Source organism: Homo sapiens, chromosome 1 (assembly GCF_000001405.40).
Source record: "Homo sapiens chromosome 1, GRCh38.p14 Primary Assembly".
In the NCBI taxonomy this organism is placed as follows: domain Eukaryota; kingdom Metazoa; phylum Chordata; class Mammalia; order Primates; family Hominidae; genus Homo; species Homo sapiens.
Genome location: NC_000001.11, coordinates 143,872,966 through 143,900,545, shown reverse-complemented (window position 1 = coordinate 143,900,545; position 27,580 = coordinate 143,872,966). Strand labels below are relative to the sequence as shown.

Sequence of the window (27,580 nt, the reverse complement as noted above, 5' to 3'; positions counted from 1 at the left end):
TATCTCTTTAATAATTGTTTATGTTAATCCATTTTATTTTGAAAAAATAATGAGCTAGAGGATACAAAGATGTAAATGAATCTAAAAGAGAGAATTAAACTGGCATAAAGATAAATATAATTCAAGCAAGATACGTTATTCCCAAAAGAAGAGAAAGAAGGAAATGTTATGTGAATGGAGAGTGAAAGGTTGCCTCTGGTTGGAGAGTTCAGGAAAATTCTGTGAGAACTGACATGGTGCCAGCTACTGTGCTAAGTGATGGAGAAACAAAGGTATCCATTCCTCAAGTCCATAAGGTTCAACTGGAGTTTTCTGTGTGACGAGTATATCATGTATCCTCTGAAATTATTTTTTAAGTTTTAGTTTTACCCAATTTTTACTGTAACCTCTTTCGACTTTTTAATTGTCTGATTTGGGTAGATGGAATTCTCATTCCATTTTTATTCTGTGATTAGAGGTTATTAATTCCTCACCCCTCATCCAGGTTGTAACATTTCCATTTACTTTAAAATATTGCTTAAGAAAATTTGTATTTTACTTCAATTGAGATTTTATTTTTTAATATTATTATATTGAACAGCTTTGGCTATCCCACCCTCCTACCTGCAGAGTGCAAAACAATTTATGCACATCACACTCAGTTTACAGCATCAGAACACTCTTGGAGCATTGTTCACCATGGTCCTAGCTTGATGTTCTTGGGGTGTGATTATTCTTTCTTTTCTCTCTTTCTCTCTCTCTCTTTCTTTCTTTTTCTTTCTTTCGAGATGGAGTCTTGCTCTGTCACCTAGGCTGGAGTGCAGTGGCACAATCTCGGCTCACTGCATCCTTTGCCTCTCGGGTTCAAGCGATTCTCCTGCCTCAGCCCCCCGAGTAGCTGGGATTACAGATGCCAGCCATCATGCCCAGCTAATTTTGTATTTTTGTAGAAATGGGGTTACACCATGTTGGCCAGGCTGGTCTCGAACTCCCAACCTCAGGTGATCTGCCTGCCTCGGCCTCCCAAAGTGCTGGGATTACAGGTGTGAAACACCACACCCGCCCCCCCACCCCCCGCCATGCCTTTTTCTTTTCCCAGACAGGGTCTTGCTCTGTCACCCAGTCTGGAGTGCAGTGGCATGATTACAGTTCATTGCAGCCTTGACCTCCCAGGCTCAAGTGATCATCCCACCTCAGCCTCCTGAGTAGCTGGGACTACAGGTGCATGCCACATGCTTGGCTAATTTTTAGAGTTTTTTTTTTTGTAGAGATGGGGTCTCACTATGTTGCTCAGGTTGGTCTTGAACTCCTGGATTCAATTGATCCACCTGCCTTGGCTTCCCAAAGTGCTGGGATTATAGACTGGTGTGACTGTTAGAGTGGTGAGTGAATAAGCTTTTTCTTATTTTCCAAATGCAATTTATCAGAAAATCCTCTTGGCTCAAAATATGTCCAGCATCCAACCACATCTCACCACCTCCACCACTGTTTCCCTGCTCCAAGCTTCCACCTCTCTTGGATATTTGCAATGGCATTTTAAATGGCCTCCTTGATTCTGCTCTCTCCCTCCTATATTTCCCACAAAGCAGCTAGAGTACACTTTTTGAAACATAAGTCAGATCATATCATTCCCATACTCCTCCTCAACAGAAAACCCTCCAATGGCTTCAGCATCAAGGCCCACATTCACTTCTCTGACCCTCTCTCTTACCTGTTTTGCTCCATTTCATCATAATTTTCTCCTTGTACTTCCTTGAATACATCAAGGCCCTTCTATCTCAGGATGTTTTCACTTGCTATTTCCTTTTCTCAAAGGCTCATCCCTAGATATTTGCATGACTGGCTTCCTAATTTCTTGTAAGCTTTTGCTCAGAAGTTACTTTACCAACTGTCATTGAGGTCTTCCCTGAACATCTTAGGTAAGATAACAAGCTCCCCTCCTTTCCTTTCCTCACTTCTTGGTATTCCTTATCTCGTAACTTTTTTTTTGGGGGGGGGACGGAGTCTCGCGTCTCGCTCTGTTGTCCAGGCTGGAGTGCAGTGGTGCAATCTCGGCTCACTGCAACCTCCACCTCCCGGGTTCAAGCGATTCTCCTGCCTCAGCCTCCCGAGTAGCTGGGACTACAGGCAAGTGCCACCACACCCAGCTAATTTTTTGTATTTTTAGTAGAGATGGGGTTTCACTGTGTTAGGATGGTCTCGATCTCCTGACCTTGTGATCCACCCACCTCGGCCTCCCAAAGTGCTGGGATTATAGGTGTGAGCCAGTGCGCCCGGCCTCTCATAATTTTCTTAATTTTTCTCCATATACCATCTGAATACTAATGTATTTATTTATTTGTTTATTTCTGAATGAGACTGATATCCATAAAAATGATCTTTCCTTGTATACTCTAACTCCCTGCTTTCTGGGCGCTTGGCTTCTCAATTAAAGGCTAATTTACCAGCTTCTCTTGCATCTGGGTTTGTCCAAAGTTTGGGGCCAATGAGATGTGAATGGAAGTTGCATGTATTATTTCTAGTTTGTGCCCTAAAAAAGAATATGTATGTGTTACCCTTGCCCTCTTACCCTCTCCACTGGCTGGGGTGCAGATGTGATGGCAGGAATTGGGGCAACTACTTTGGACCCAGAGGCAGAAGCCCTGTGATGAGGATGGCAGAACTGCTCTGTTAGCCCTGGACTGTTACATGAAAGATAAATAAACTTGTATCTTATTCAAGCCACTGTTTTTAAAGACTTATTTGTTGTATTACTCAGATATAGTCTAAGTTATTATATCATTTGTCTCCCCTCCTACCTCCTCAGAATAAGTCCTATGAAGGTAGGTGCTTTGTTTCATACACTGCTCTATCCTTATTATGTAGAACTATATCTGGAATACATTAGGCACTCAATATCTATGGGATGAATGATGGATTCGAGAAACAGAAGTAATTGAGTACATGGGAAATGCGATTGTGTTTATGACAGGTGGAGCTCCAAGAGTTGAATTTAACAAGAAATGATTGAGTTTGAAATCTTTTGCCCTCTAAATTAGGGACAGCACAACACAGAATGAGGATTTGGGTGAAGTTGCAACCACCGAGTTCCACATACCAGTTTAGAAGCCTCAGAGTATAAGTCATTGGGTATTTAAGGACCTTACCTAAGCTAACTCAGAAGCATTATGAAGGGCAGTATTGACATTAACTGCCAGGAATCTCCTAAAAGAGTCAAGGGATTATACATGAGTCATAGAAGGATACTTGAAGATGGACAATTATAGTCCCATCACTTTATGGAAGACTATGAGACCCAAATAAGAGAAATCCCAGTGGTCCACGAACTTAGCTCTGGTAAGTCCCCGATAATTATTTAAATTATTTCAGGTTCAATATCACTGATTGCTGTCACCATTTTCAAGGCTAATATCTAATCTGCTTTGGTTCTGCTAAGATCTCCCTGTTTTTTTGTCGTTGTTTTTTTCCTCTAGAAAAAACAGAAAAGAGAACTATCTCCAGATGAATACAGAAGAGGTGGTAAAAAGAATACACATAACGTGGCTCTCACATGATCACATATCATGCTGAAGGCTCTCAGAGGCAACTGAGGTTGGAGATCATTTTTAGGGTCTTAAGTTCAGAGCTGTATCTGTAATATCAACAACAGATATTCTGGCTCTTACCACCTTGCCCATTTCTCCTCTTAGCACTGTAAGAGTAGTTCTTGCTGAGAAGGCACTAGCCTGTAGTGGCGATGAACATCAGCTTTGAGTATAGCTTCCCCACGTAAGGACTGTATGACCTTGGAAAACTTTCTTTACTTGTTGTGATAAATAAACTTCCTTACAGCAAATTGATCCTCAAGTTATTCCCCTGTAAGGTGGAAAAAATAATGGAAACTACCTTCTAGGCTTGATATGAAGATTAAATGAGGTAATGTACCCAAAGCACTTAGTACAGTGGCTGGAACATGGTAAATATTTGATCAGTGTTGTTCTTATTATTGTTATGGTTAGGAAGGCGCTAGCAAGAGCACCATTGTACTTCCAGAGCACATTCCATTTTCCAGCAAGTGGTGCTTTAATAGATTTCTAGTGACTTGAGAGTGACTTCCCTAAGCACCTTGCATTAAGGAAATAGGACCTTCTGTATTCTAAAAACACCATCCAATAAGGGATTTTCACAATTTACTTGTAGGACCTTTGTTACGTAGAACCTTCAGTGTCTGCTATGTGGCCCATTAGGAAAATAATAAATTAGGAAACAAAAGACTTTATAGTGTCTGTTACTAGTGCTCTATAAAGGCCGATATAACATTTGGCAAGTACCTTCTTTTTCTATCAGATGATGCTTTTAATACTTCATGTCAATACTTTCAGAAAAAAGTGAAATCATTTCATTAAACACTTCTTTCCTATTTCTGATTTTTGAGTTGAAAGCTCTTAATTTTGAGGATTTAACATAAGAACAAGTCAAGGGAATAGAAATTATCTAGAAAACTATTAGCTAGCATAGAGAAAAACAAGACTTACAGCCAAAAGAAGAATGTGCAAATAATTTGGGAAATGTTTAAATAGAAATTTAAAAATGGGGCTGGTGGAGTCATGTTGATGATTTCGGAGTTAATCATTTCTGCGTATTAAATTGTTTCCAGCATTTTCTAGCTGAAGTTACTGTTGTTGTCAACTACTCAGCATCCAAAATTTTCACAAGAAAACAAGGTTTTTTCTCTTCAAATTACAGTCCAAAGAGTGGCAAACAAGAAAGATGACAGAGTCGGAAGACCTTAAGATTTCTTTTCTTTGGTCAAGAACTCATTACACAATGGATGATACATCTTAGGTGGCCCTACTAAAAAGAGACACAAGAATCTAGAGACTATCTCACTGTCAACCAATCCAAGGAACTTTGCTTTAGATGGCCAAAGCCAGAAACAGCAAAGTAGAAGAACTACTAGAGCTTTAAGCAGTTCCTTAGTATTTTTCCTTGGCTTATCCAAGCCTGAATACTGGTCCACTTTCCCAAAGTTGGTAAAGAGGTAATACAGCTTGGGATTGATTGGATATTGAGACAGAAAGAGAGGGGGAGAGAGAGATATCTAGGTACTGGAGCAGCACTAGGCACTCAGAAGAAGGAACACTTGGAGCAAAAAATGAAGGATATAGATTAGTGAAGTGAAGTCAGGAGCAAATGATCTCAGTTGCTTTACATGATCAAAGGACAATAACTGCAAATTGCCAGAGGGTAGGTGAAGCTCCATATCACTTTTTAATATTAGTGTTTTAAACACCTAGGAATAGAATATACCTAAAGATAATAGCTTGATTTCCCCACACCCACCTTTGCAATGTTTTGATTTTGCACAAGTCTTGGTTTCTAGTTTGTGGGATTATCATTTTTCATTGCATTGAAGGAAAATTCTTTAGGCCAGGAGGGAGTCTAAGACTTCAGACACAGCACAGATACGATCCTGGGCAAGGGTCATTCAGTGTTCTTAAGAAAATTCTAAATCCTAAGGTGTGATGGTTAATATTAGGTGTCAACTTGATAGGATTAAAGGATGCCTAGATAGCTAAGTATTGTTTCTGGGTGTGTCTGTGAGGGTGTTGCCAGAGGAGATTAACATTTGAGTCAGTGGACTAGGAGAGGAAGACTCACCCTCAATGGGGGTTGACACCATCCAGTCGGCTGCCAGGGTAGCTACAACAAAACAGGAGAGAGAAGGTGGGCGGGCTAAGCTGGCTTGCAGAGTTCTGGCTTTCATCCCTCTCCTGTGCTGGATGCCTCCATCCATTCCTCCTGCCTTTGGACATCAGACTCCAGGTTCTTTGGCCTTTGGACTCTTGGACTTAACACCAGTGGCTTGCCTGGGGCTTTTGGGCCTTAGGCCACAGACTGAAGGCTGCACTATGGGCTTTCCTACTCTTGAGGCTTTTGGACTCAGACTGAACCACTACTGGCTTCTTTCTTCCTCAGCTTGCAGACGGCCCACTGTAGGACTTTGCCTTGTAATCATGTGAGCCAATTCTCCTTAATAAACTCCTTTTAATATATCTATATCTAATCTATTATCATCTATCTATATCTATAGATATATGTCTCCCCTATTAGTTTTGTCCCTCTGGAGAACTCTGACTAATACAAAGGGTTAAGTCTTAAACTACTTATAATTTCTCTCTGGAACTGTATTTCATCTAGTTTGGAATGTTTACTTACTTAAGACCCATATTATATGTAGAATAATGAGCAGGAGAAAGGTATGCTGATTAACTTGTATATATATTAGCCATAGAATTAGTTCCAGCAAAGGAACATACTTGCTTTTTTTGGTTTCTTCAATCTTCTCCCTGTTACATTATGAAAATTTGATGATTTTACTTATTTAAGTGTCTTTGTAGGAGATTTTTCGTGGATCTTTTTAAGTGTTGACCTCTGATTTTCATAATTTTTTTCACATTAGTATCAAGGTATTAGGTAATGGAAATTATTCTTAAATAACTCCCGCCTGCCCCCCTGAAACAGCAAGCATCTATAGAGAAGAAGACAGTTTTCAGATTAGCAGGAGAGTTAACCAAGTAAAACTTGAATTTTGATCCTTAGCCTGGAGAAAAAGGTAAGAAACTTTTTCATTTGTCTAAGAGAAGTTTATTTCATGATGTTTATGATTGTGGAGATGTGTTTGTGGGGGAAAGTGGCATATTAAATTTTTCTAGACTAGTATGTGCAAATAATTTATAGTGGGGAGGGGGGAATTTGAGTCTCAAAGATAAAAGCATAGTGAAACAGAACTGTGACTGTTCTTCCTGGCATGAGGAAATAACATATGAATTACAAGCATGCTTGAGTAATGTAGATTGAGTTGATGGGTAGAAATGTGGCCCCTTACAGCACAGAGATGACAAAGTAAATACATTTGGCCCTCCTGGCAGGGTAGAAGTATAATGTGTTCCCAAAATCACCCGGATATGCCATCGTATAGTGTATTAGTAAAGAGTTCAGGCTTCTGAGACGGACCACCTGGAGTGTAACTTGGCTCTGCTCTTTAGGATGTTTTTAATCTGTGTTTTCTCATCTTAAAACTGGGACTATAGTAATGCTTACTTCATAATGTTTTTATGAAGGATAATTGCTTAATGTTTCCACTAATAAACAATTCAATAAATACTAGTTGGTGATCGTAGGGAAGTCCTGTTAAGTGCTCTGCAAGTTTCCCGTCTCTAATGCACAGGTGAAAAATAGCTACTGATTCAAGATTGTGTCCTGAAGATATGTTGCTTTCTTCTCATATTCCACCCCAAATTCCTAGAAATGATAAAAAATTGACAAAGATGGCAGATGGGGTAACAGTGAAGAGTGCCAAGGAGGACTTCTGCAGAAGACAGGAGTGGACCAAAAAATGATCCACATGTTTTGGAACCAGGAGACAAAAGTTGGTCTTGGGGCAACTGATAGGATGACAGTTCAGGTACCCATGCTGGAGTGCAGTGGCACGATCTCAACTCACTGCAGCCCCAACCTCCTGGGCTCAAGCTCTCCTCCCACCTCAGCCTCCCCAGTAGTCAGGACCACAGGCAGGTACCACCACAACCAGCTAATTTTTGTATTTTTTGTAGAGATGGGGTTTCACCATTTTGCCCAGGCTAGTCTCAAACTCCTGGGCTCAAGGGATCCACCGACCTTGGCCTCCCAAAGTTCTGGGTTTACAGGTGTGAACCACCATGTCTGGCTGGTGACTGACATCTTTGACCCCAGCAGTGAGTGCGGTCATTTGGTTCAAGGAGGCAGGAAAATGTGCCAAGTAACTGGGCGCTCCCACATCTTGGAAATTTAAAATTTGATTATTGACATAAAAATTCAACAAGGGATAAATCCAGAACAGGATAGATAAAGCCAAGAGAAAATAAATAAGCTGAAAGATTGTGCTATTATGAAATATATATTTGGTCTTCAACCCCATTTCCTGACATACAACTCCTAAAATCCTTAGAAACACCAAAGTGTGATGTCGTTTTGTTTATTAATGAGTTGACTGATGTCTGGCAGCCCCTAGGTAGCTTCAGGATGGGGGCTGGTGACCAGAAAGAACAAGGGGAGGATTAGAGAGTTGGGACTTTCAGCCCACCTCCAACTTCCGGGGAGGGGAGAGGGGCTGAAGGTTAAGCCGATCACCAATGGCCAATGGTTTAATCAGTGATTCCTTTGCAATGGAGCCTCCATAACGACCCAAAAGGACAGGGCTTAGAGAGCTTCTGGATAGCTGAACATGTAGAGGTTCCTGAAGGGTGGCGCACCCAGTGGAGGTGCATGGAAGCTCCATGCTCCTTCCCCCATACTTTGCCTTATGCATCTTTTCATCTGTATTTTTTGTTATAAACCAGTAAACCCAAGTGTTTCTCTGAGTTTCATGAACTGCTCTAGCAAATTAATACAATGCAAAGGAGGAAGCCATGGGAACCCCAGCTTGGAAATGGTTGGTCAGAAGTTCTGGAGGCCCAGACTTGGAACTGTCATTTGAAGTGGGGGCAGTCTGGTAGACTCAGTCCTCAACCTGTGGGATCTCCTGATAAATAGTGTAAAAACTGAATTGGAGTACACTCAGCTGGTGTCCACTGCAGAACTGATTGCTTGCTTGCTGTGTGGAGAACCCCGCTCCGCCGTCAGTCTTCTGTGTTGATTGTTGTAGTGTGAAAGCACAGGAAACACATAGTTTGAGTTTCTCCCTCCTCATGATGATCAAGATAAGCCAGAAATTCCTCCACAAAGCCATATAAAAAGATGCATGCAGAGATGAAAGAAAAGTTAAATGATATGAAAAATAGATCCAGATGTTCCAAACTCATGTAACAGGATGAGGAGTTAGAGAGGAGGGGAGAATTGAGAACAAGTAAGAAATAAAATACAGATCTACCAAATAAGATTTGCTGATTGTGCACTGCACAATTTCAGGGGCTGTCATTTGAATAGTAAGATTTGCCAATGTGTAGTGTACAACCTACTATTGTGTAGTATGCAACCATAGTCATGAGAAAATAAAGGAATAAAAGGAGGATATTTCACAGGATCTAAATGCATACATACATCCTTAGATTGCAAGGTCCTATTAAATTCTGAGCATACAGGATGAGAAGGACCCTCACCTAGATTCACAGTGACAAAATTTGGGAACAAGGAGAAATTTCTAAACATATTCAGGGAAAATGCTTATGAAGAAATGGAAGTCAAATTTACATCCAACTCATTTGGGCTCCACTGGATATAAGAAGACACGAAGCATTATTTTTTAAAATCTAGGGAAAATAATTTTGAATTCAATTAAACTATCATTTAAGTGTGGGTGACTTTTCAGAATTCTATTCCAGCAATAATTTTAAAAAGATCATAAGGGAAGATGTGAGATAATGGAAGCAAAGGTGGTCATGTATTTGGTAAAAGATATTGCTAAACAAAGTGAATTTAGATTCTAGAAAATTAAAAAGAAAACCTGGAATTCAAATTCCAGGTGATGTAGAAGGGTGGTAGGGAAAGCAAGAGTGAAGAGAAGTAAAACAAGCTAAGTAAGATTTATGTTATAAATAAATAGGATATAGATATTATTACTGTAGAAGTTAGAAAAATGTGGGCTTACATGGTGGGTCACACATGTAATCCTGGCACTTTGGGAAGCTGAGGCAGGAGGATCACTTGAAGCCAAGAGTTCGAGATCAGCCTGGGCAACAAAGCAAGACCCTTGTCTCTACAAAAAGTAAAAATATTAGCCAGGCATGGTTACATGCACCTGTAGTCCCAGTTACTTAGGAGGCTGAAGCAGGAGGATTGCTTGAGCCTGGGAGGTCGAGGCTGCAGTGAGCTATGATTGCACCTTTGCACTCTGGCCTGGTGACAGAGCAAGTTCCTCTTTTTTTTTTTTTTTTAAGTCGGTTTAAAAATACATTTATATATGGCACTAGAAGGGTATATCATATTCATAAAGGTAGTGCTCCATTAAGGAATGACCATGAATTGTTTGCATTTAACAAGGATACATACACATATGTGCATATAAGTCAACAATCACAGTGATAAGTTTAATATACCTTTCTTAGGAATTGACAGATCTAGTTGACTGAAACTTATTGAGGATATGGAGAATTTGAAGAACACGGTTAATAAGATTAATCATAACTATAATTATGCCTATACCATCTTATATTCAAAATAGGAAAGTTACATTATTTTCAAATTCACATAGAATATTGACAAAAATTGGCCATAAGTGAGATGGCAAATTAAGCCTCAACAAGTGCTGAAAAGCTGAAACCATATAGGACCAGGGCATAGTTAACTGATTATAAAACAATAAAATAATCAAACATGCCCTCCTTAAGTTGTACTCTTAGGAAAAAGCACATGGGTTAAAGGGGATATCAGAATAAAAATTATACGCTCTTTAGAAATAACAAGAGCACTATAATTCAGCCATACCCTGAGACTTCACAAGCTTTGGTCCCAGTAAGCTAGAATTCAAATCTTAGCCCTATATTTAAATAACTCCTTGAATTGCCATTTCTTATCCCAATTATCTGTCATTCCACTGTGAAATATATTTCATGGCAAATAATATTAAAACCTACATGAAGCAGTCAGGAGAAAATTTGTAGCTTTAAAATGCATTTAAGAGAAAATAATTGGTAGGCAGATCGCCTTGGCCTCCCAATTATTGCCTCTGGAATTGGAGACCAGCCTGGACAATATGGCAGGACCCTGTGTCTCCAACAAATACAAAAATTAGCTGGATGTCGTGGTGCACGCCTATAGTTCCAGCTGCTAGGGAGGCCGAGGCAGGAGGATCGTTGAGCCTGGGAGGTGGAGGGTTACAGTGAGTTGAGATCATGCCACTGCACTCCAGCCTGAGCAACAGAGAGAGAATTAAGCTTTTAACTCCAACGCTAACAAAGGAACACAACAAAAACCTGTGGAAAGTAGAAGGCATAAAGTAAGATGAAAGCATAGTCAATGAAACAGATCATACCTTCCTATTCCACCAAAATGGAATTTATAAAACCAAACACTGTGTTCCCTGAAAAGAAAATTAAGAGTTAATCCTTCCGTAAACTTACTATTGAAAAAGCACATAAGTAATACTAGATATAGAAGATATTAAAATGATGTGTATTTTTGATATATATTTGCAAATGTAGACAAAATGTTGACTTTTCCATACAAATTACCAAAGTTGAGCTAAGAAAAGTAAAATACCTGACTAAAGAATTAACTATAAGAGAAACAGAAAAAAAAATCAGATATACATATCCTTAAAAATAGCACCAAGGCCGGGTGCGGCAGCTCATGCCTGTAATCCCAGCACTTTGGGAGGGCGAGGTGGGTGAATTATTTGAAGTCAAGAGTTTGAGACCAGCCTAGCCAAGATGGTGAAACCTTGTCTCTACTAAAAATACAAAAATTAGCCGGGTGTGGTGGCGTGTGCCTATGATTCCAGCTACTTGGGAGGCTGAGGCAGGAGAATCACTTGAACCTGGGAGGTGGAGGTTGCAGTTAGCTGAGATCATGCCACCGCACTCCAGCCTGGGTGACACAACGAAACTCTGTCTCAAAAAACAAACAAAAGCAAGCCCAGACAGCTTTACCAAACACTGAGGAGAGAATATATTATACAAATTGATCAAAATAATAGAATAGTATTAAAAGCCACCGACTGAGTGTGAGGCAATGACAAGAGATATTATGAAGGCTAAATGAAATAACCCATGAAAGGTAAATAAGCATTTGTTAAATTAAAATAATAAAGTTGACTATTAAGTGCCATGATATAGATTTCACAGTGGAATGAAAGGATAAAATAATTGGGATAAGAAATTGCAATTCAAGGAGCTATTTAAGTGCAGGACCAAGATTTTAATTCAGCCATATCCTGAAATTTTACAATCTTTGGTCACAATAAACTAGAATTCCAGGTAGAAAATGATTATTTTCTAAAATAAAGATGGTACTTATAAACCTATATAAATGCCCATTTCTCCTCTTCAAAGTATTTTTCTGCCCTTCCAGAAGAACTGGGCCTTGAAGTCACAGCCAGGCTCCAGAGGACTGCTGTTTCACTGGATATCACGCCATTGCTTCTTCAAAATTATCTTCTCAGAGAATACCATATTTGGGGAATTTAATTTACTTCTCGAGAATCCCTAACCCAATTATTTCTAGTCTTCCTTAGAGATTTTCTTTCTCCATTAACTCCCGTATTATGTCTGGGAATCTTTTACTTTCACATATGCTCCCTCTCCACAATTTATTCTTTTTTTATCTTCTCTAAGTGTTAAGGAGTAGTATACATGTGTGATAGGGAGATGAAGGGGAAAGGCAGAAAACTGAACTTCTTACCCTCATGGAAGTTTTGACCCCACATTTAGAAAAAACAAGAAGTGGAGAATAAAGGGAGAAGGACAGCAAGCAATTTTATTCGTTCCCATTTTCCTGCCAATGTGCATTAACAAAGAAGTCTGTACCTAAAAGACCTTATGCAAGACCAGATTTTCACATTACTAGCTTTGTGTGTGTGTGACATCCTGCTTTCCGTTGCCAAGCTTAATGTATATGTGTCTTAGGGTCTTTCAGTTTTTATACTATTATGGCTATGTTGTGGTAAACTGAGGAAAGGAGAGGCCAATATGGAAAAACAGGAGGATTGTTGTTTATTTTAGGTACGCACGGCTCAGCAGGTTTGCATCTAAAAAGCTGAGCACTGAACAAAGACAGAGTGGGGTTTTTATAAGCGGCCTTACAGACACAAAACAAAAGCAGTTAATCATACAGTGACAGGTCACATAATCTATAGCATAACATAACTTGTGACCTTGCATAGCTGGTGACCTTGTAGTTGCATCGAAAGAAAAACAAAAACTGGCTAAATACAGACATTTGTAAATAATGCTTAAGAGGCCTGGGGAAAGAGTAAGAGTAAAAGAATCTTTCTCTTTTTCTTCCTCCAACCTTGCTCTGGAAGGGAGGGGTGTCTGGAGCCTATTCCTTTGACCTTGGCTATTTGGACAGCGTTATCTTATAACTGTCCTTGAAGTAAGCTTGCTAGGCAGAGGAAAACTTGTTCTCTTCTTTTTAACCCTTGCCTTGCCACATTCTGGGCCTTAGCTTTTACTTTTCTTGGAGTGAATAAATGCAGTACTTATTATTTATTTGTTTTAAATTTCTGCCTCAGCTGTGAGACTGGTAATAATCATTCATTTATTTATTTATTTATTTATTTATTTATTTATTTATTTATTTTTGAGACAGGGTTTCCCTCTGCCACCCAGGCTGAAGTGCAGTGGTGCGATCTTGGCTTACTGCAGCCTCTGCCTCCTGGGCTCAATTGATCCTCCTACTTCAGCCTCCTGAGTAGCTGGGGCTACAGGCGTGTGCCACTGGCTAATTTTTGTATTTTTTATAAAGATGAGGTTTGCCATGTTGCCCAGGCTGGTCTCCAACACCTGGCTCAAGTGTCTGCCTACCTTGGCCTCCCAAAGTGCTAGGATTACAGACATGAACCACCGCACCTGGCCAATAATTACTTCTGAAGATTCTGACAATACCATTTACAATAACACAAAAATGAAGGACCTAAGAATACATCTAACACATCTAGAGAGAATATTATAATATTGTTGTGAGACATTAACAGTGACATAAATAAATGAGAGTTATACCTTGTTTATGGATTGGAAAGTCAGTGTTGGAATGATATCAATCCTCCCTAACCCTCTCCCTCCCGCCCCTGCCCCAAAAAGATCGACAGATTTAGTGCATTCCCACTCCAAATCCAATAGTTTTCTCAGGAGAATTTGACATAGTTGATCTCTCTTTCTTGAGACGTTTTATTCTCTGTTTTCCCTCCTACCTCACTGGTACTCCTTATCAATATCCTTTGCTACCACCTCTTCTACGCAACCTCTAAAATGTGGCATATTTCATGGCTCAGCCTTAGACCTTTTTCTATCTGTACTTCCCCCTTACATTGTTCTTTCTAGTCCCCTGACTCTAAATACCACATCTATATGATGATTGGCAAATTTGTATCTCTAGTCTAGGATTCTTCATATATCCATTGCTTTTTCAAGAGTTACACTTAAATGTCAAATAGGAATCTTAAAATGTCCAATATGAAACATTCGCTTCTTGCTACCCCGTTCCCCTCCTCCACCAACTTGCTGTTTCAATTCTGTCAATGGAATATTTATTGCTTTGACCCAAAATCTACGTGTTCCCCCCCCTTCTCTTTCTCACATTCCCTACATCTAATCAATAAGAAACTTTGTTGACACTTCCTACAAAACATCTTCCAAATGTGACCACTCTCAATAGCTCCACTGTTACCATGTTAGTCCAGGCTGCCGCTGCCTCTCACCTAGACTCCTAACTGGTCTCTTTGCTTCTACTGTTGTCTCTCTACAGCCCGGGGAATCTGTCTCCAACTAAGCCTGGTGGCAGTGAGGACCGTCAGCCCCCTCCCAGCCAGCTGTCAGCTATACCTCCATTCTGTCTGGTTCTCAGGGCTGGAATCGCTGGGCAGGTCTAGCTAATCCTTGGCCCTCCTAGGAAAATGTTCCTAAATCCTGAAGGCATTTAGCTAGGAAAGATCCAGAATGGACCCAACTATTCCTGTTTTACCCCAAACCGGTTGGTCTGCTTTGGGGATTACTTCTCAGGCTAGGAACCTCTGAGTGTTCTGAAACGGGCCTGAACTCTTACAGAAGCTCTTGTGGCCCTAGGATGAATTTAGAGGTCTCCATACCCAGCCTGCAAGGTGAAGAACTACCCCTAACGACCCACCCTCCCAACCTAATGCCGGTTCTGCTCCACTTGTCCACTCTGGGGAGCTGTGCTTTGGCTTGGAAGCTCTCGGATTGAAGGATGGGCCCAAGACCCTCACAGGTGAAGCCTCGGTAGGTCCCAGGGAGAAGAAAGATATTCCTCCACCCCACCACCCCTCTAAGTCCGACCCACCTTTCTCCCCGCCAGCTGCATCAGATCCCTCCAGGGGCTCATTGTCAGTCCTGTAATCTTTTCATCCGTGATAGGATGGGCCGTGGGCCCTTGTGGGTGAAGCTCGGCGGTTCCCGAGTCCATGTGGGGTGGCCCCTGCGGAGCCTGGAGCCTTCTTGCCCGCTGGCTTGCTGATCCCGCCGAGCCAGCTCCCTTCCTGCTTTTGACGGTGAGGGAACCAGCTGGGAGGTCCTCCGAGCTGGACGGGGAGGCGGGCGGCCTCTCCCACTCCCCACCCGCTCCCTCCCTGCCGCCGCCGCCTCCGGCTGCTCTTGCGACAAGCCAAGAAGCTGGGGCGCCTGCTGGGAGCCCAGCGCCGTCCTCCCGTTTCCTGTGATCTACCAGTCCTCCTCTCCGCGGAGGCTCGGCCGGGGGCACCTGAGGCCGGCAGCATCCCCGTGGCTTGGCGGCAGCTGCAACCTCCACAGACGGCCGCCAGGTGGCGCCGCGCCGGGGCCCGGGAGCAGGCGGGCCCGGGGCGGGGTTGGAGGGACTCAGCTACGCGCCTGGGGAGGCCGCGGGCCCTCGCAGACTACCGAACTTCCATTCTGCCGCCGGGTTTTCACACCTGCCGGCCCCGAGGAAACAATGACGTTGGGATTTTGGGGGGCCGCCCCTTGACTCGGGCGAATGGGACACGAACGGCGACCCCTTGCTCTCTTCCATCCGCCTGCCGCCGTTGCTGCCCACCGACTCCTACAGCTCATTTCTCGCTCCTGCAGGCTCCAGGAATGCAAATAATTTCTCACTGGGTTTTGGCGGGGGCGCGGAGCTGCGGCGAAGCGCGCGCCCGACAGCTTTCGCCGCAGCTGGGTCCCCGGGCGCTGGCGGCTGCGGCCCCCAGATACGGGCGGAGGCTGCAATATGCACATGCGGCCACAGTGTGGCGCCAGGGGCCCGCCGCGGGACACGCTCGGAGCGCGACGCCCCATCCCATCATTTACGGATCAAACCAAATAATCTAGAATCAAGTTGCTGTGTGTGTCATACTCCTCCTGTTTTTTTTCCCTAAACTTTTAGTAGAGTCATTTACATAGTTCAGTTTTTACCTCAGCTGTTACACAGTGGCAGGAAAATATTTTGTCTCCAAACTACAGCCCAAGTATGAGAGCAGCGTATCCTGAAGCTAATTAGTAACCAGAAAATCAGGAAGGTAAAGCAAATCTCTGGAGGCAAGATCTGGACTCTATGATATCGCCGCTTCTCCCCACTTGAAGCGTCTCTTTGCAGTGCCGCACTTGGAGATTTGGACTTAATCGTTAAACAAAAAGAACAGTTACATTCTGCCTTCCTACAGGGCAGGGGCCTAGGACTGGCAGCATTTTTGTTGTCTCTAGAAATAGAGGGGTTATGAGAGAGCCTCAAAAGAGAGGGCAAGAATAACACATCCATTTCTCATCATGAGTTACCCCCTTGTATGCCTAGAACGCGTATGGAGACATTCTCTTTTAGTAAAGTCAAAGAGAAAAGCCATGAACTAAGTATCCTGAACACAGAGGCGTGAGCCCTCTCAGTCTCACAGTCCCTTAGGAGTCATTTGTAAGTACTATTTCCTTCCTTATTGTCTATACTATTCCCTCTTGTCTCCCTGAAATCTACCCACTCCTGACTGTGTGTGTGTCTCTTTCTGTCTGTTTCTCTGTCTTAATCTTCTGTACATATGCACCCACTCACCTTTTTACCTTGTTCTGAGAAATAAAATACTATTTTTCAAACTATGTAATAGGATTATCAGGCTAGGCTTGACTTGTAAGTTTTTCAAGAATTCTTTAGAGTAGGCCTCATTTCAAGTCATCTTTGATGACCACATTTCCAAATGTATCCCAGTTGAAGTCAGTTCATTTATTTGCCTTAAGAGTTATATACCATGAGACACACAGTTCTGGTGTTGTTGAACTTTTGGATGTTTGTACGCAGTGCTCACGGGGAGCAAGTGGACAGGGGACGGTCCAGATCGATGGCCACCCACTGAGCCGCTGCTACGTGGCCCCCTGGGGCTCCTTCCGGTGCACCCCTTCCTGCAGCTGTTCTTCTTTTTGTTCCTGACATTTCAGCTCTTCTTCTAAATGTCTGTCTTCTTGAAGGCTGGAAATTACCTTCTTCTCATGACCAGAATCCAAAGAGATTTCTAAATTCCACTTTTTCTTTCTTTTCAGTTCTTTACGTATTGTCACCCAGAGAACAGTGTTCACTAAAAACATTATTCCCACTGCCAGATAGAAAAGGACATGAAACCAGACAGGAGTTGGTAACTGGAGGCCTGAAACAGAAAAAGACAAAGAGAAGAGATACTATTTAGAGACCAGAGGGGTCTGGCTGAGTTATGTTTGGAAGGGAAGGTTGGCTGAGACCTGATGTGCCTGTCCTCAGGGAGGCACTGGTCATTTCAGGGAGCAGGAAGGAACTGGCGGTAGCTCTAACTGGCTATATGGTGTATAGACAGGGACAGGCTCCTTGGAAGAGCTTAATTGCTGGGCCCTGTCAGTGGACTTACTTCCTAGTTCCAGAGACAACTGATATCTCTGTGCCATTTAATACTTGAAATGAATTTGGGTTGAAGATGAACTTTTTTCCCCCCCAAGGAGACTTTGTTCTGGAGCTCACAATCCCTCTGCCTCAGTTAAATAGAGATACTTGGGGAGGTGGTGATTTGCAGTTTACAAAATCACTGTCTGATAAATCCACCTTGTGAGCTCCTTGAAGCAAGAACTATACTCAAATGTCTTTATATCCCCAGACGTATGACAACAGATAGGAAGAACTTGATAAATTGTTGGTGAGATTGTTGGTGAGGAGGAGGGAGGCAGGGAAGCAGGGAGAGAGAGAGAGAGAAGCGGGGGTCATGGAGTGGAGGGAAGAGTGGGAGGGAGGGGAAAATAAAATGAAGGAGAAGAAAAGAAGGACAGAGGAGAAAATGAAGGAAAGAAATGGAGGAAGGAAAGGCAAAGGAAAAAGAAAAAGAAAGGAAAGGAAATTTAACAGTTTGCGAGGAGAAGAGTGATGTTGTGAATCAAGGATGGAAAGGCCTGCTTGTGGGCTTTTCCTGAAGAGACTTTCCCCTCCTGTCTGGGCCAAAAACCCTTGAACAAACCTCAGTCCCATGGGAGATAAGGGAGTCCCTTCTTCTGTGCCAGTGGCTTCCCATCATTCTCACTCACCAAGCACTTGAAGCTCCAACTCAGGGCTGCGCTTAAGGACATTTCCATCCTCTGTGGCAGCCTCGCACCAGTATAACCCAGAGTCTTCTCTTCTAGCAGTTAGTATTTAGTATTCAGAGGATGTGTTCCTGCCTCGCAGGGTCTTGCTGCCCATGTAGAAGGAGAAGTAAAGCTGCAAACCAGGCCTCTGCAAGAGCAACTTTGTTTCACAGCTCAGGGTGACCAGATTCCCCCCAGGAGTGGGGATGTCACAGATGCATTCAGCACTGGAGCTGGAAATAGCTCTAAGGAGAAAGTTGATGGGGGAAAGGGTTGCCTGTTTAGCATCCAGGTCCTTTTCACAAAAGACATGCCCTTTACCCCCTTGGGAAACCTGGCCTTAGAAAATGAATCCATAAGGCATTAACCGTTTTTACTTCCAGCAGAGAGCCATTCTTGGGGTGTCCTAATAGACATAATTAGGGTTGCCAGCTTGCTGAGTCCTACTGAGGATACCTCTATACCAGTGGTCCCCAACCTTTTTGGCACTAGGGATGGATTTTGTGGAAGGCAACTTTTCCACAGCCGGGGGGTGAAGTGGGGACGGTTTTGGAAGGTAACTGTTCCACCTCAGATCATCAGGCACGCACAATTCACAATAGGATTCATGTTTCTATGAGAATCTAATGTCGCCACTGATTGGACAGGAGGAGGAGCTCAGGCCGTAATGCTGGCTCATGAAGAAGCTCACCTCCTGCTGTGCAGCCCAGTTCCTAACAGGCCACGGACCAGTAAGGGTTGGGAACCCCTGCCCTACATGGTCCATCCTTCCCTGAATGACCATGTCATCTGGTCAATAACCATGCCCTTTTGGCAGTGGTCAACTAGGAGTGAACCCTGACTCACACACTTGCCATTTCAGTGACTTTATTATCATTATTATTATTATTATTTGAGACGTAGTCTCGCTCTGTTGCCCAGGCTGGAGTGCAGTGGCGCTATCTCGGCTCACTGCAAGCTCCGCTTCCCGGGTTCATGCTATTCTGCCTCAGCCTCCCGAGTAGCTGGGACTACAGGTGCCCGCCACATTTCAGTGACTCATTATTTTTGTTCCTGACTTTAAAAGATAATCTGGGACAATAATTTCTTTCCCACAGGAGTGAACTTTTTTTTTTCTCAGACAGAGAAAGGTTGCTAGTGATTGTATTAAGAGGAAAGGCCGTGAAAGGGTCAGAACAAGGCCATATGCAAACTGCTTAGCCTGCAGATGCTCAGGAAGAAGTGGCACCACAGAGGCTGCTTTGTCCCTGAGAGGTAGATGGACAGTATAGCCCGTTCCTCATATTTTCCAGGTTTCTCTTTCTATGGGGCTTCCATGAGATTCCATGGTATTATTTTCTAACTCTCCTATCTACCTAGAGTGAGTCTGTATTCTTTACAACTAAAATAATGATGGATGAAATGGATCACCATTATGCCCTGACATTGACATTAGCTCCTGTGATTATTGATGGGGCTTGCGGTACACTGGAAAGAGTATTGGACTAGGACCCAGAGACCTCAGTTCTGGTTCCAGCTACTGGTCATGGTGTGGCCTTTAGTAATGCAGTTTACCTCTCTGGAGCCCGGTTTCTTCACTTGTAAATTAAAGTGAGGAGTTTAGAATATTTATGATGGTCCCTCAGGGGGAGGGACTATCAGTTCTATGACTATTCCAATACAATACCTTTCACAGTGTATTGTGATATTCCTGCTGATGTGTAGTGATGCTTTCCCTTGCCTGAGCAATGGTAGGTGCCATTGTGACTTATGTTGGTTTTCAGAATGGTGAGGTTAGAATTCCAGTGGAAAAACTTAAAGGCTTTGCCATTTCGATAGTAAAGCACATTGTACACCAGCTTATCCTTCCACGCATGACACCTCAAGGCCAGAGGTTCTCCTTCCGTGAAGACTCTGCTGGAGACCTGCAGTAGTGGCCAGCCTGAAAAATATGAACCCAAAATGTATGTATACAGTGGAGGAGGTACAAGGAGGCCCAAGCTTGGCCCTGTGGGCTTCCTATTTTTTCTCCTTGCAACATCCAGCCTCAGAGCTCTGCTAAATCTCAGGCCTATATCCAGTTCCTCAAATATCTTTAGCTTTGGTGGAAAGAAAAGCAATCTTTACTGGCAACTGCGTACACAGCCCTTTCTTATCTTCCCTTTCCAGATCTCAGAAGTTGGTTGAAACAAAAACAGTTCATACAGCATGGTAGGCAGAATTCTAAAATGATCCCAATGACTCACTCCCTTGCATAATCCCCTTGAGTGTGGGTGGAACCTATGACTTGCTTCTAGCCAACAGAATATGACAAGGGTGATGAAATGTCACTCTTGGGATTGCTACATTATGTAAGACTCTATCTTAGCAGTCTGGATGGAAAGTCTCCTCCTGAACTTGAAGAGGTAAGCTGCCACGCCAGGAGAGGGCCTACAAGAGTGCCACAAGGCAAGGGCCTCTAGGAGCTGAGAGTGGCCCCCCACTGATGGGCAGCAAGAAAGCAGGAACCTCAGTCCTACAACCACAAAGAACTGAATTCTGCCAGTGACCTTGTGAGCCTGGAAGAGCTGCAAAAAGAAACACAGCAAAGTCAACACCCTAACTGCAGCCTTGGAAGACTCTCAGCAGAGCACTCAGCTAAGCTGTGATGGGAGTCCTGACCCATGGAAACTGGAAGATCTTAAATGTATGTTGTTGCTAAATTTGTTACACAGCAATAGAAAACAAATACACTCCAACTCTTGACAAATTTGTTAATAGGACCACGCATCCTGAGACAAACACACAGAAGGGCAAACATCCAGATATAAACATCCTACTACATTGATATGAATACTCACATATGTAAGATCAATGATATCACTAGCAAAACAAGCTCCAAGTCAATGGGTTTTTCCTTTCGACAAACACCTCTACACATAACCAAAAATGCTTCAACTACTTTTCTTTTCTCCAGAGGCAGTTGGTTTGGCTAAGTAAAAATGGGGTTCTTAGGAGACTAAGGCGGAAAAGAGACAATAGTGCCTTTTTCCCCTCCAGAACTTATCTAAGAATGGAAGGCAGGTGTTTCTATGCTATACATAGCATGAATTTTACAGTCATGGATACTGATATAATGCTTCCAAATAGAATTAATTCTCTTCCCTCCCTTATTCCCACCCACAGCCAGCAGATGCTGAAAGACTGCACTGTCCAAACACTGCCATCTTTGCTTTATATATCCAAAAGAGTGGGAAATGCTGTCACATCTCCATCAGAAACTGTCAAACACTAGTAATGGTAGAAAATATCTGAATGACACAATTAATAGGCTTGATTTTGTGGATGCTCTACTTTAGAAAGAAAATTCATATGCTTTTCAAACACACATGCAATATTAGAAAAATTAAGTGTGAACTAGGCCACAAAGCAATTTTCAACAAATACTAATGAACTGATACCATGTTTAACACAAATTCTAACCAAAGTGCTATAACATTAGAAATCAATAACAAAAAACTACCCTCCAAAAAACATCTAAGTAATTCATGAATAAAATAATGTATAACAGAAATTTATGAGTTTTAAACTTAAATGGTAATGGTAGTATTATATATCAAAACTCACGAGATGCAGCTTTTAGCAGACATTACTAATTTCCTACTCAACAATCATTCCCCTACCTTCATGACTTTGGTGTCAGCCATATGATTAGGGCTCGGGTCCACCAACCAGCTGCATTTTCTTGGTCTTAGCATATACTGATTAAATTGAAATGACTAAGAGTCAGTGAGCTGCAATTGAATTCCCCATGGCTGACTGTGGCGGAACATTTTAAAATAGGGCATAGACAGCACCAACCAAAAATGTTGGTGTATTGTACTGTAGTAAAATTAACAAGTCTTGTTCATTGAAAACAAACAAAACTTTAATATTATAGTGAAAAGAAAAGCCACAGAGTGGGAGAAGATATTTAAGACACTTGAAAAAGGACTTATATCCAGAATATATAAATAACTCCTATAAGTCAGTAAGAAAAAGACAGACAATAGAAAAATTATCAAAAAGAGCTTACAAAAAAGGATACCCAAATAGGTAATAAACGTGAAAAATGGTCAATATCATAGTCATTAGGGAAATGCTTAATTTGCATTTGTATATCCAAAAGAGTGGGAAATTGTAACATACCTCCATCAGATACTGTCGAACATTAGTAATGGTAGAAAATATTTGAAACATGTAAACAAAAATATCCACAGCATTACTATTTGTAAGTGGTCAAAACCAGAAGCAACCCGAGCCCCTCAGCAGAATGGGAAAATATGAAATATACAGTAATAAGAACAAATGAACTTCAATTTACAACATGTATACTGTTCACAATCATAATGTTGAGAAAAATAAACCAGACACAAAAGAGTACATCCTGTCCCATACCGTAGCCCTTTATATGAAGTTCAAAAATAGGCAAAAAACCTATGGTGCTGGAAGTCAGTGTCAGGGGTGGACTAGAAATGGGCAAGAAGGAGTTTCTGAGGTGCTGGAAATGTCTAAAATAGATCTGGATGCTGTTTACTTTGAAAAAATTTACTGTGGCGTACATTTATGGCTTGTTGTACATAAGTTATATTTCAATGAAAATTCACATTAAAATGTAATGTAAAAAAGATATGATTCTCAGTAAGTCACTGATGCTGAGTGTCCTAGAGTCTGTGTAGAGGTAAAGAAAATGGGCTCTTCCCAGCCCTAGTCCTTTTGTTGTCACTTGAACCATGAAACACTTCTGCTTGAATTACCCAAAGTGTCTTGTTGAAACAGCTCTGTCAGAGGTTGCAGTGAGCCAAGATCGCACCACTGCATTCCAGCCTGGGCAACGGAGTGAGACTCTGTCTCAAAAAAAAAAAAAAAAAAAAAAAAAAAAAAAAAAAAGGGAAACAGCTCTGTCAGCTTCCCTAACCTCTCCATCCTAAGAACTTATTTACAGAGACCTAAGGGACACATGAGGAACATCAAGCCTTCCCTCAGACATTCTCAACATTTCCTTGGCTAAAACACATTTCCTCTAACAGCAACCATGTCTGCATAAAGGCAATTTTGCCTCCAGTGTGGATTAACTTTTGCATTATCATTTTTAAAGAAGTTTAAACTCATCACTTCTGAATAACTAAATAATACATTTGGTTATTTTGTCTTGCATATTGAATGAAGCATTTTTCCCTGAAGAATATTGCAGTCTCCATCTCTTGATGAATAGAAACTCCTTACAGGTTTAAGTGGGTGGTGGGCTTTTCTGCTTCCACTTATTAAAATATGACAATAATTCCATGTCCAGAATATTATCTTACAGATACCCTATGAAATGTGCCCCCGGAATGTATGTATAAAGATAATTATTGCAGCAATGCTTGTAAAATCAAAAGAGTGGAAACATCTTATAAATTTGCTAATAGGCAGAATGGTTAAATTAATTCTGGTACAGCTGTGCAGCAGACATTTTAAAGTGGATTTCTATTAATATAAACAGAACTTCAAGGTATTTTAAGTGATAAAAGTAAGATATAGGACAATACTTAGAAAGTGTTCTACCACCCACAGCTTTAAAACTATATATATGTGTGTATATATATATATATATATATATATATAGTTTATATATAATAATGCTAATATATACATATATATGCATAATATGTATATATATATATTAGCAGTTTTGTTTCTGTGGAAGGTGACTGCAGATCTAGGGTTTTGGGTGGGAGGAAGATATTTCATTGTTCATTATTGCTCATTTGTTTGAATTATTATTATTTACTATGTACAGGCATACATTTGGAATAATGATACAATCTTAGGGCCGAAGTCTTAACTCTAGACATCCTACTTAGAGCTGGCCCAGCTGAGGTACTGTTGGTACACAGTTTAAGGACCCTGCTGTGATGTTTTGAGTATACTGATTTAGTGTCACCTGGTAGGTACGTAGTGCTGAGACCTGCACCCAGATAAATCGACACACACACATCTGGCATCCAGAAAGGAGAGAACGCAGAGGAAGACCTTGTAGTTTCCGGCCCTCCTGGTCCAAGTCATAATTACCTCTGTGGATTTCCAGCTGTATGGGGTCACTTCGCCCTGAGAGACCTCTCTGGCACCTGTATTCACCACTGTCATTGACACTGGCAGAGGTGATTCTGTAGCTGGGGGTCGAGGTCTGAGTGGCTGTGCCATTGAGAAACCACTGTGTGGAGCTGCTCCCAGGCAGATGGAGCACCTCACAGTGCAAGGTTACGGTTTCCTCTTGGAACACGCTGACCCATGGAGGCTGCAAAGTGATCACTGCCTTTGTGGTGTCTACTTGGAGATTACAAGAAGAAAAAGAAAAAGATCAAGTGGAGTAAAGGGGAGGGCTCTGAGCAACTGGTGAGGCTTTTGTGGATAGCACAAGGGAAAAATACATATTTAGATTTATTTGAAAAATAGGCAAGTGGAAACCTACAAAAGCCAGCCTTTAAGAGTGTCCTCCTGCTGCAGAGACCTCTGTTCATTGTTATTAAATCCTCATCTGGGTGTTGGGAATCTGGGGCTCCTGAGGATTAAATTACTGATGTAGGTTTTTCTGTTGGGAGCAATGAAGCAGGGTTTTAGACTTGGGCAAGCCAAGCGGAGCTGTTTTCCTTATCCTCTGAGCTATACTGTCTCTGAGAGTACATTGCAGGGCTTCAGCAGCTTGTACATTGGAAACGGAGGTTCAAACTCCTCTCTTTGAAGCCTTCAGTATTTGCCTGGCTCTTTCTGAGGAGAAAAAACCCACTCTGCTTTCTTGTAAAGGGGACTGGTTTAGGGGATGTTGGGAAACCCAGCAGACTACTTCAGTGTCAGCAGACTACTTTAGTGTTTGTGCAATTCTGGCCCTTTCCTGCTGTTATATATACATTCAGGCATTTCGCTCAGAGGAAAGAGCTCATTCAGAAAACTTTAGAAAGAAAGCTTACAAATCATAGTTTTTATGAAAATCATGCTCTGAATATGGGAGATTTTACATAATTTATAAATCTTTCTTCTTTCTCTGCTTTCCCTATATGCTCTTCTGCAGGTTAATAGGACCCATCCTTTGGAAGTAGGAAAGTGGCATAGAAGGAGAAGCTGAGTTAGAGATCACTCACCCACTTGCCCATCAACTGGAACTGCAAGAGATCAGAGAATAAAGATATCAGTTGGTCCAAGGAAAATAATGAGGAAGAGAGAATTGGGGAGACAGAATTAATGTAGACTCTGAGGGATCAACTCAGATCTCTTGAGTTTCTATTTCTCTTTCTCAAAATCCAGTACTAACAGAACTGAACAAGCTACAGGTGGTTATCAAGGAAACTTCACTGCGGTGCGTCCAGGCTTAATGCTACCTCAGGGTTGCCCTTCCCATCCTTTTCATAAAATAAGCTCTAATAAACCGTGGAAGCACAGATACAAGTTGCTTCATACTCATGAGTTCTACCCAGAGTTACCACAGGAAGACAAAACTCTTGACTCACAACAGCCACAGCCTGTACCCTTCTAACTGTCCCCTCTGAGTCCAACTTACCCCAAAGGAGCAGAGTTGTCAAGAACCACATGTTGTCTCCAAGCTGGTGGGAGCAGTGAAATCTGTAACATGCAAGATATTGAAGAGGTTCTGCTGGTGGCTCCAGAGCCAAATTAGAAAAGAGGAAGGAAATTGCCTTTTCTGACCATTTTCATCATGTTCCTTTTCTGGGAAATACATCTCAAATCCTTGAAACATGCTTTTCCCATGCTCATACCTGTTAGCCCATCTCTCCCAGTTTGAATCTCTGATTTTCAGGTTATGAACTCTCAGAATCCAGGGAAAAGGCTAAAGTTGTGTTGACATTCTATTCTATTTTTACCCTCTACCGTTTCTGTTTCTTACGGTTAGAATATGGCAAAACCTCACTCTTTATAATTGGTTCAATGCCTGGCTAATGCCTCCAAACAATCATTTGAATCCAGAAGTATCTATATCAGCCTCTATGAGGCCATGGGAAAAGTTACTCATCTACAAGAGCTGCCCTAATACAAACCAGCCTCTGCTCCTCTAGGGGACACAGACAGGATCAATCTCCCATTTTGGTTAAAAAAGAAAACAAACTCTCTTCCTGAAAGACATCATGAATTTGGAGTGTTTATTTTGGCTAAATCCAAGGTAATTAATTGTTTAATGTGGATGCTATGGAGAAGAAAAATAACTCATGCACATGGATAACAATATCTTCAAGAAAAGAGTTTCAGAGTACAAGTGGGGAGCTCTGTGCCACCAAACTGAGGTGGCTCCTGAGACAGAGTTGTAACCCCATAAAAAGATTTTTAGGTATTGTGGTAAGAGAGAAAGAGAGCTAAATGGAAACTAGGATGAATTCAATGAGTGCAGAGAGACTTTGGCAATCTTACTAGCAGAGAATGAAAAATGATGACAAATCATGCTGTAGATTGGTGTACTGGCCCCAGTTTCTCACCGCTCCCTGAATCTACACTCTCTCCACAGCCTCATGAGGGTACGTCTCTGACTCTTGACTGTGGCTCATCATGAGACTTTCATTGGCCAGCGAAATGTGAATGGAAATGACATGGTGCTAATTTCAAACTTAGCACTTAGGAAGCTTCACACATTATCTCTCACCCTCTTGTTCTCCTGTGATTGCTGAGACAAGAACATTTTTTAGCTAGTCAGCCACCGTGCGAAACAGAGCTGTCCTAGACATTGTGGCTTGAGGCAGAGCTGCCTCACCTGCCCTGCAAACTTGTAAGTGAGAACTAAATGCTTACCTTTATATGCTACTGAGATTTGAAGATTGCTGTACAAGCAAGAGCTGACTGACACAAATGAAAAGCAAGGAAGAAAGGCCGGGAAGAACTCAGGGTGTTCTGAAGAGACGAGAGAAGCCTCAGCTTGTTAAAATTTATATTCAAAGCCTATATCTGTAACTATTTTACTATTTTGTCTCCAAAGTTTTCTACTGTATGCATGTACCATAATTTATTTCACCAACTTCTCTTCATGAACATGTAGGTTATTTCTAATTTTTTACTGTGTGACCAGTAAAAAAGACTGCTTACTACCAAAATAGTCTTGTGACTACCTTTAAACATTTGACTTATTTTTTCCTTAGGACACATTCCTAGAATCAGTAGTGCTTACTCAAAGGAAATGCGCATTTTTTCCTTTGGATAAGATGCTATCAGATTGTCTAGGATCATTATCCTCATCGCTGCATAAATTTTAGAGTGCTTATTACATGCCAGACAAATATGCTTGATACATGTTTTCTTATTTAAGCCTCACAATAATCCATGAGTAGACACTAGTATCTCCATTTTACAAATGATAAACCTAGTGAAAGAGGAAATCAGTAATTTGTCCAAGGTTGTAAAAAATAGAAGCAGGA

General features: G+C 41.8%; 2 pseudogenes across 4 annotated transcripts in view, besides 1 other annotated feature; one reads left to right on the top strand and one right to left on the bottom strand.

Moving 5' to 3' along the window:
• H2BP2 (H2B histone pseudogene 2) overlaps positions 1-27,580 on the top strand; it is a 57,749-nt pseudogene that overhangs the window by 4,105 nt on the left and 26,064 nt on the right. Inside the window, exons 2-3 of one of the 3 annotated variants that reach the window (NR_160914.1) lie at positions 20,337-20,853; positions 25,237-27,251. The exons of 1 other annotated variant lie outside the window; for it this stretch is intronic. The product of NR_160914.1 is annotated as a H2B histone pseudogene 2, transcript variant 2 (transcript). Of the gene's footprint in view, positions 1-20,336; positions 20,854-25,236; positions 27,252-27,580 lie in introns of those variants that run through there. One more of the 3 variants, NR_160913.1, reaches the window with a different exon arrangement.
• Positions 15,324-15,513: a silencer, noted in NCBI's record as "silent region_1255". NCBI's record gives its function as "represses an Ori minimal core promoter by ATAC-STARR-seq in GM12878 lymphoblastoid cells {active_cell/tissue: GM12878}" and the evidence as "EXISTENCE:reporter gene assay evidence [ECO:0000049][PMID:35858748]".
• On the bottom strand, positions 16,813-25,803 carry FCGR1CP (Fc gamma receptor Ic, pseudogene; annotated as a pseudogene). Its single transcript, NR_027484.2, has 6 exons — positions 25,723-25,803; positions 25,307-25,327; positions 24,240-24,494; positions 19,855-20,109; positions 18,150-18,433; positions 16,813-17,251 (listed from the first exon to the last, which is right to left on the bottom strand). The product of NR_027484.2 is annotated as an Fc gamma receptor Ic, pseudogene (transcript).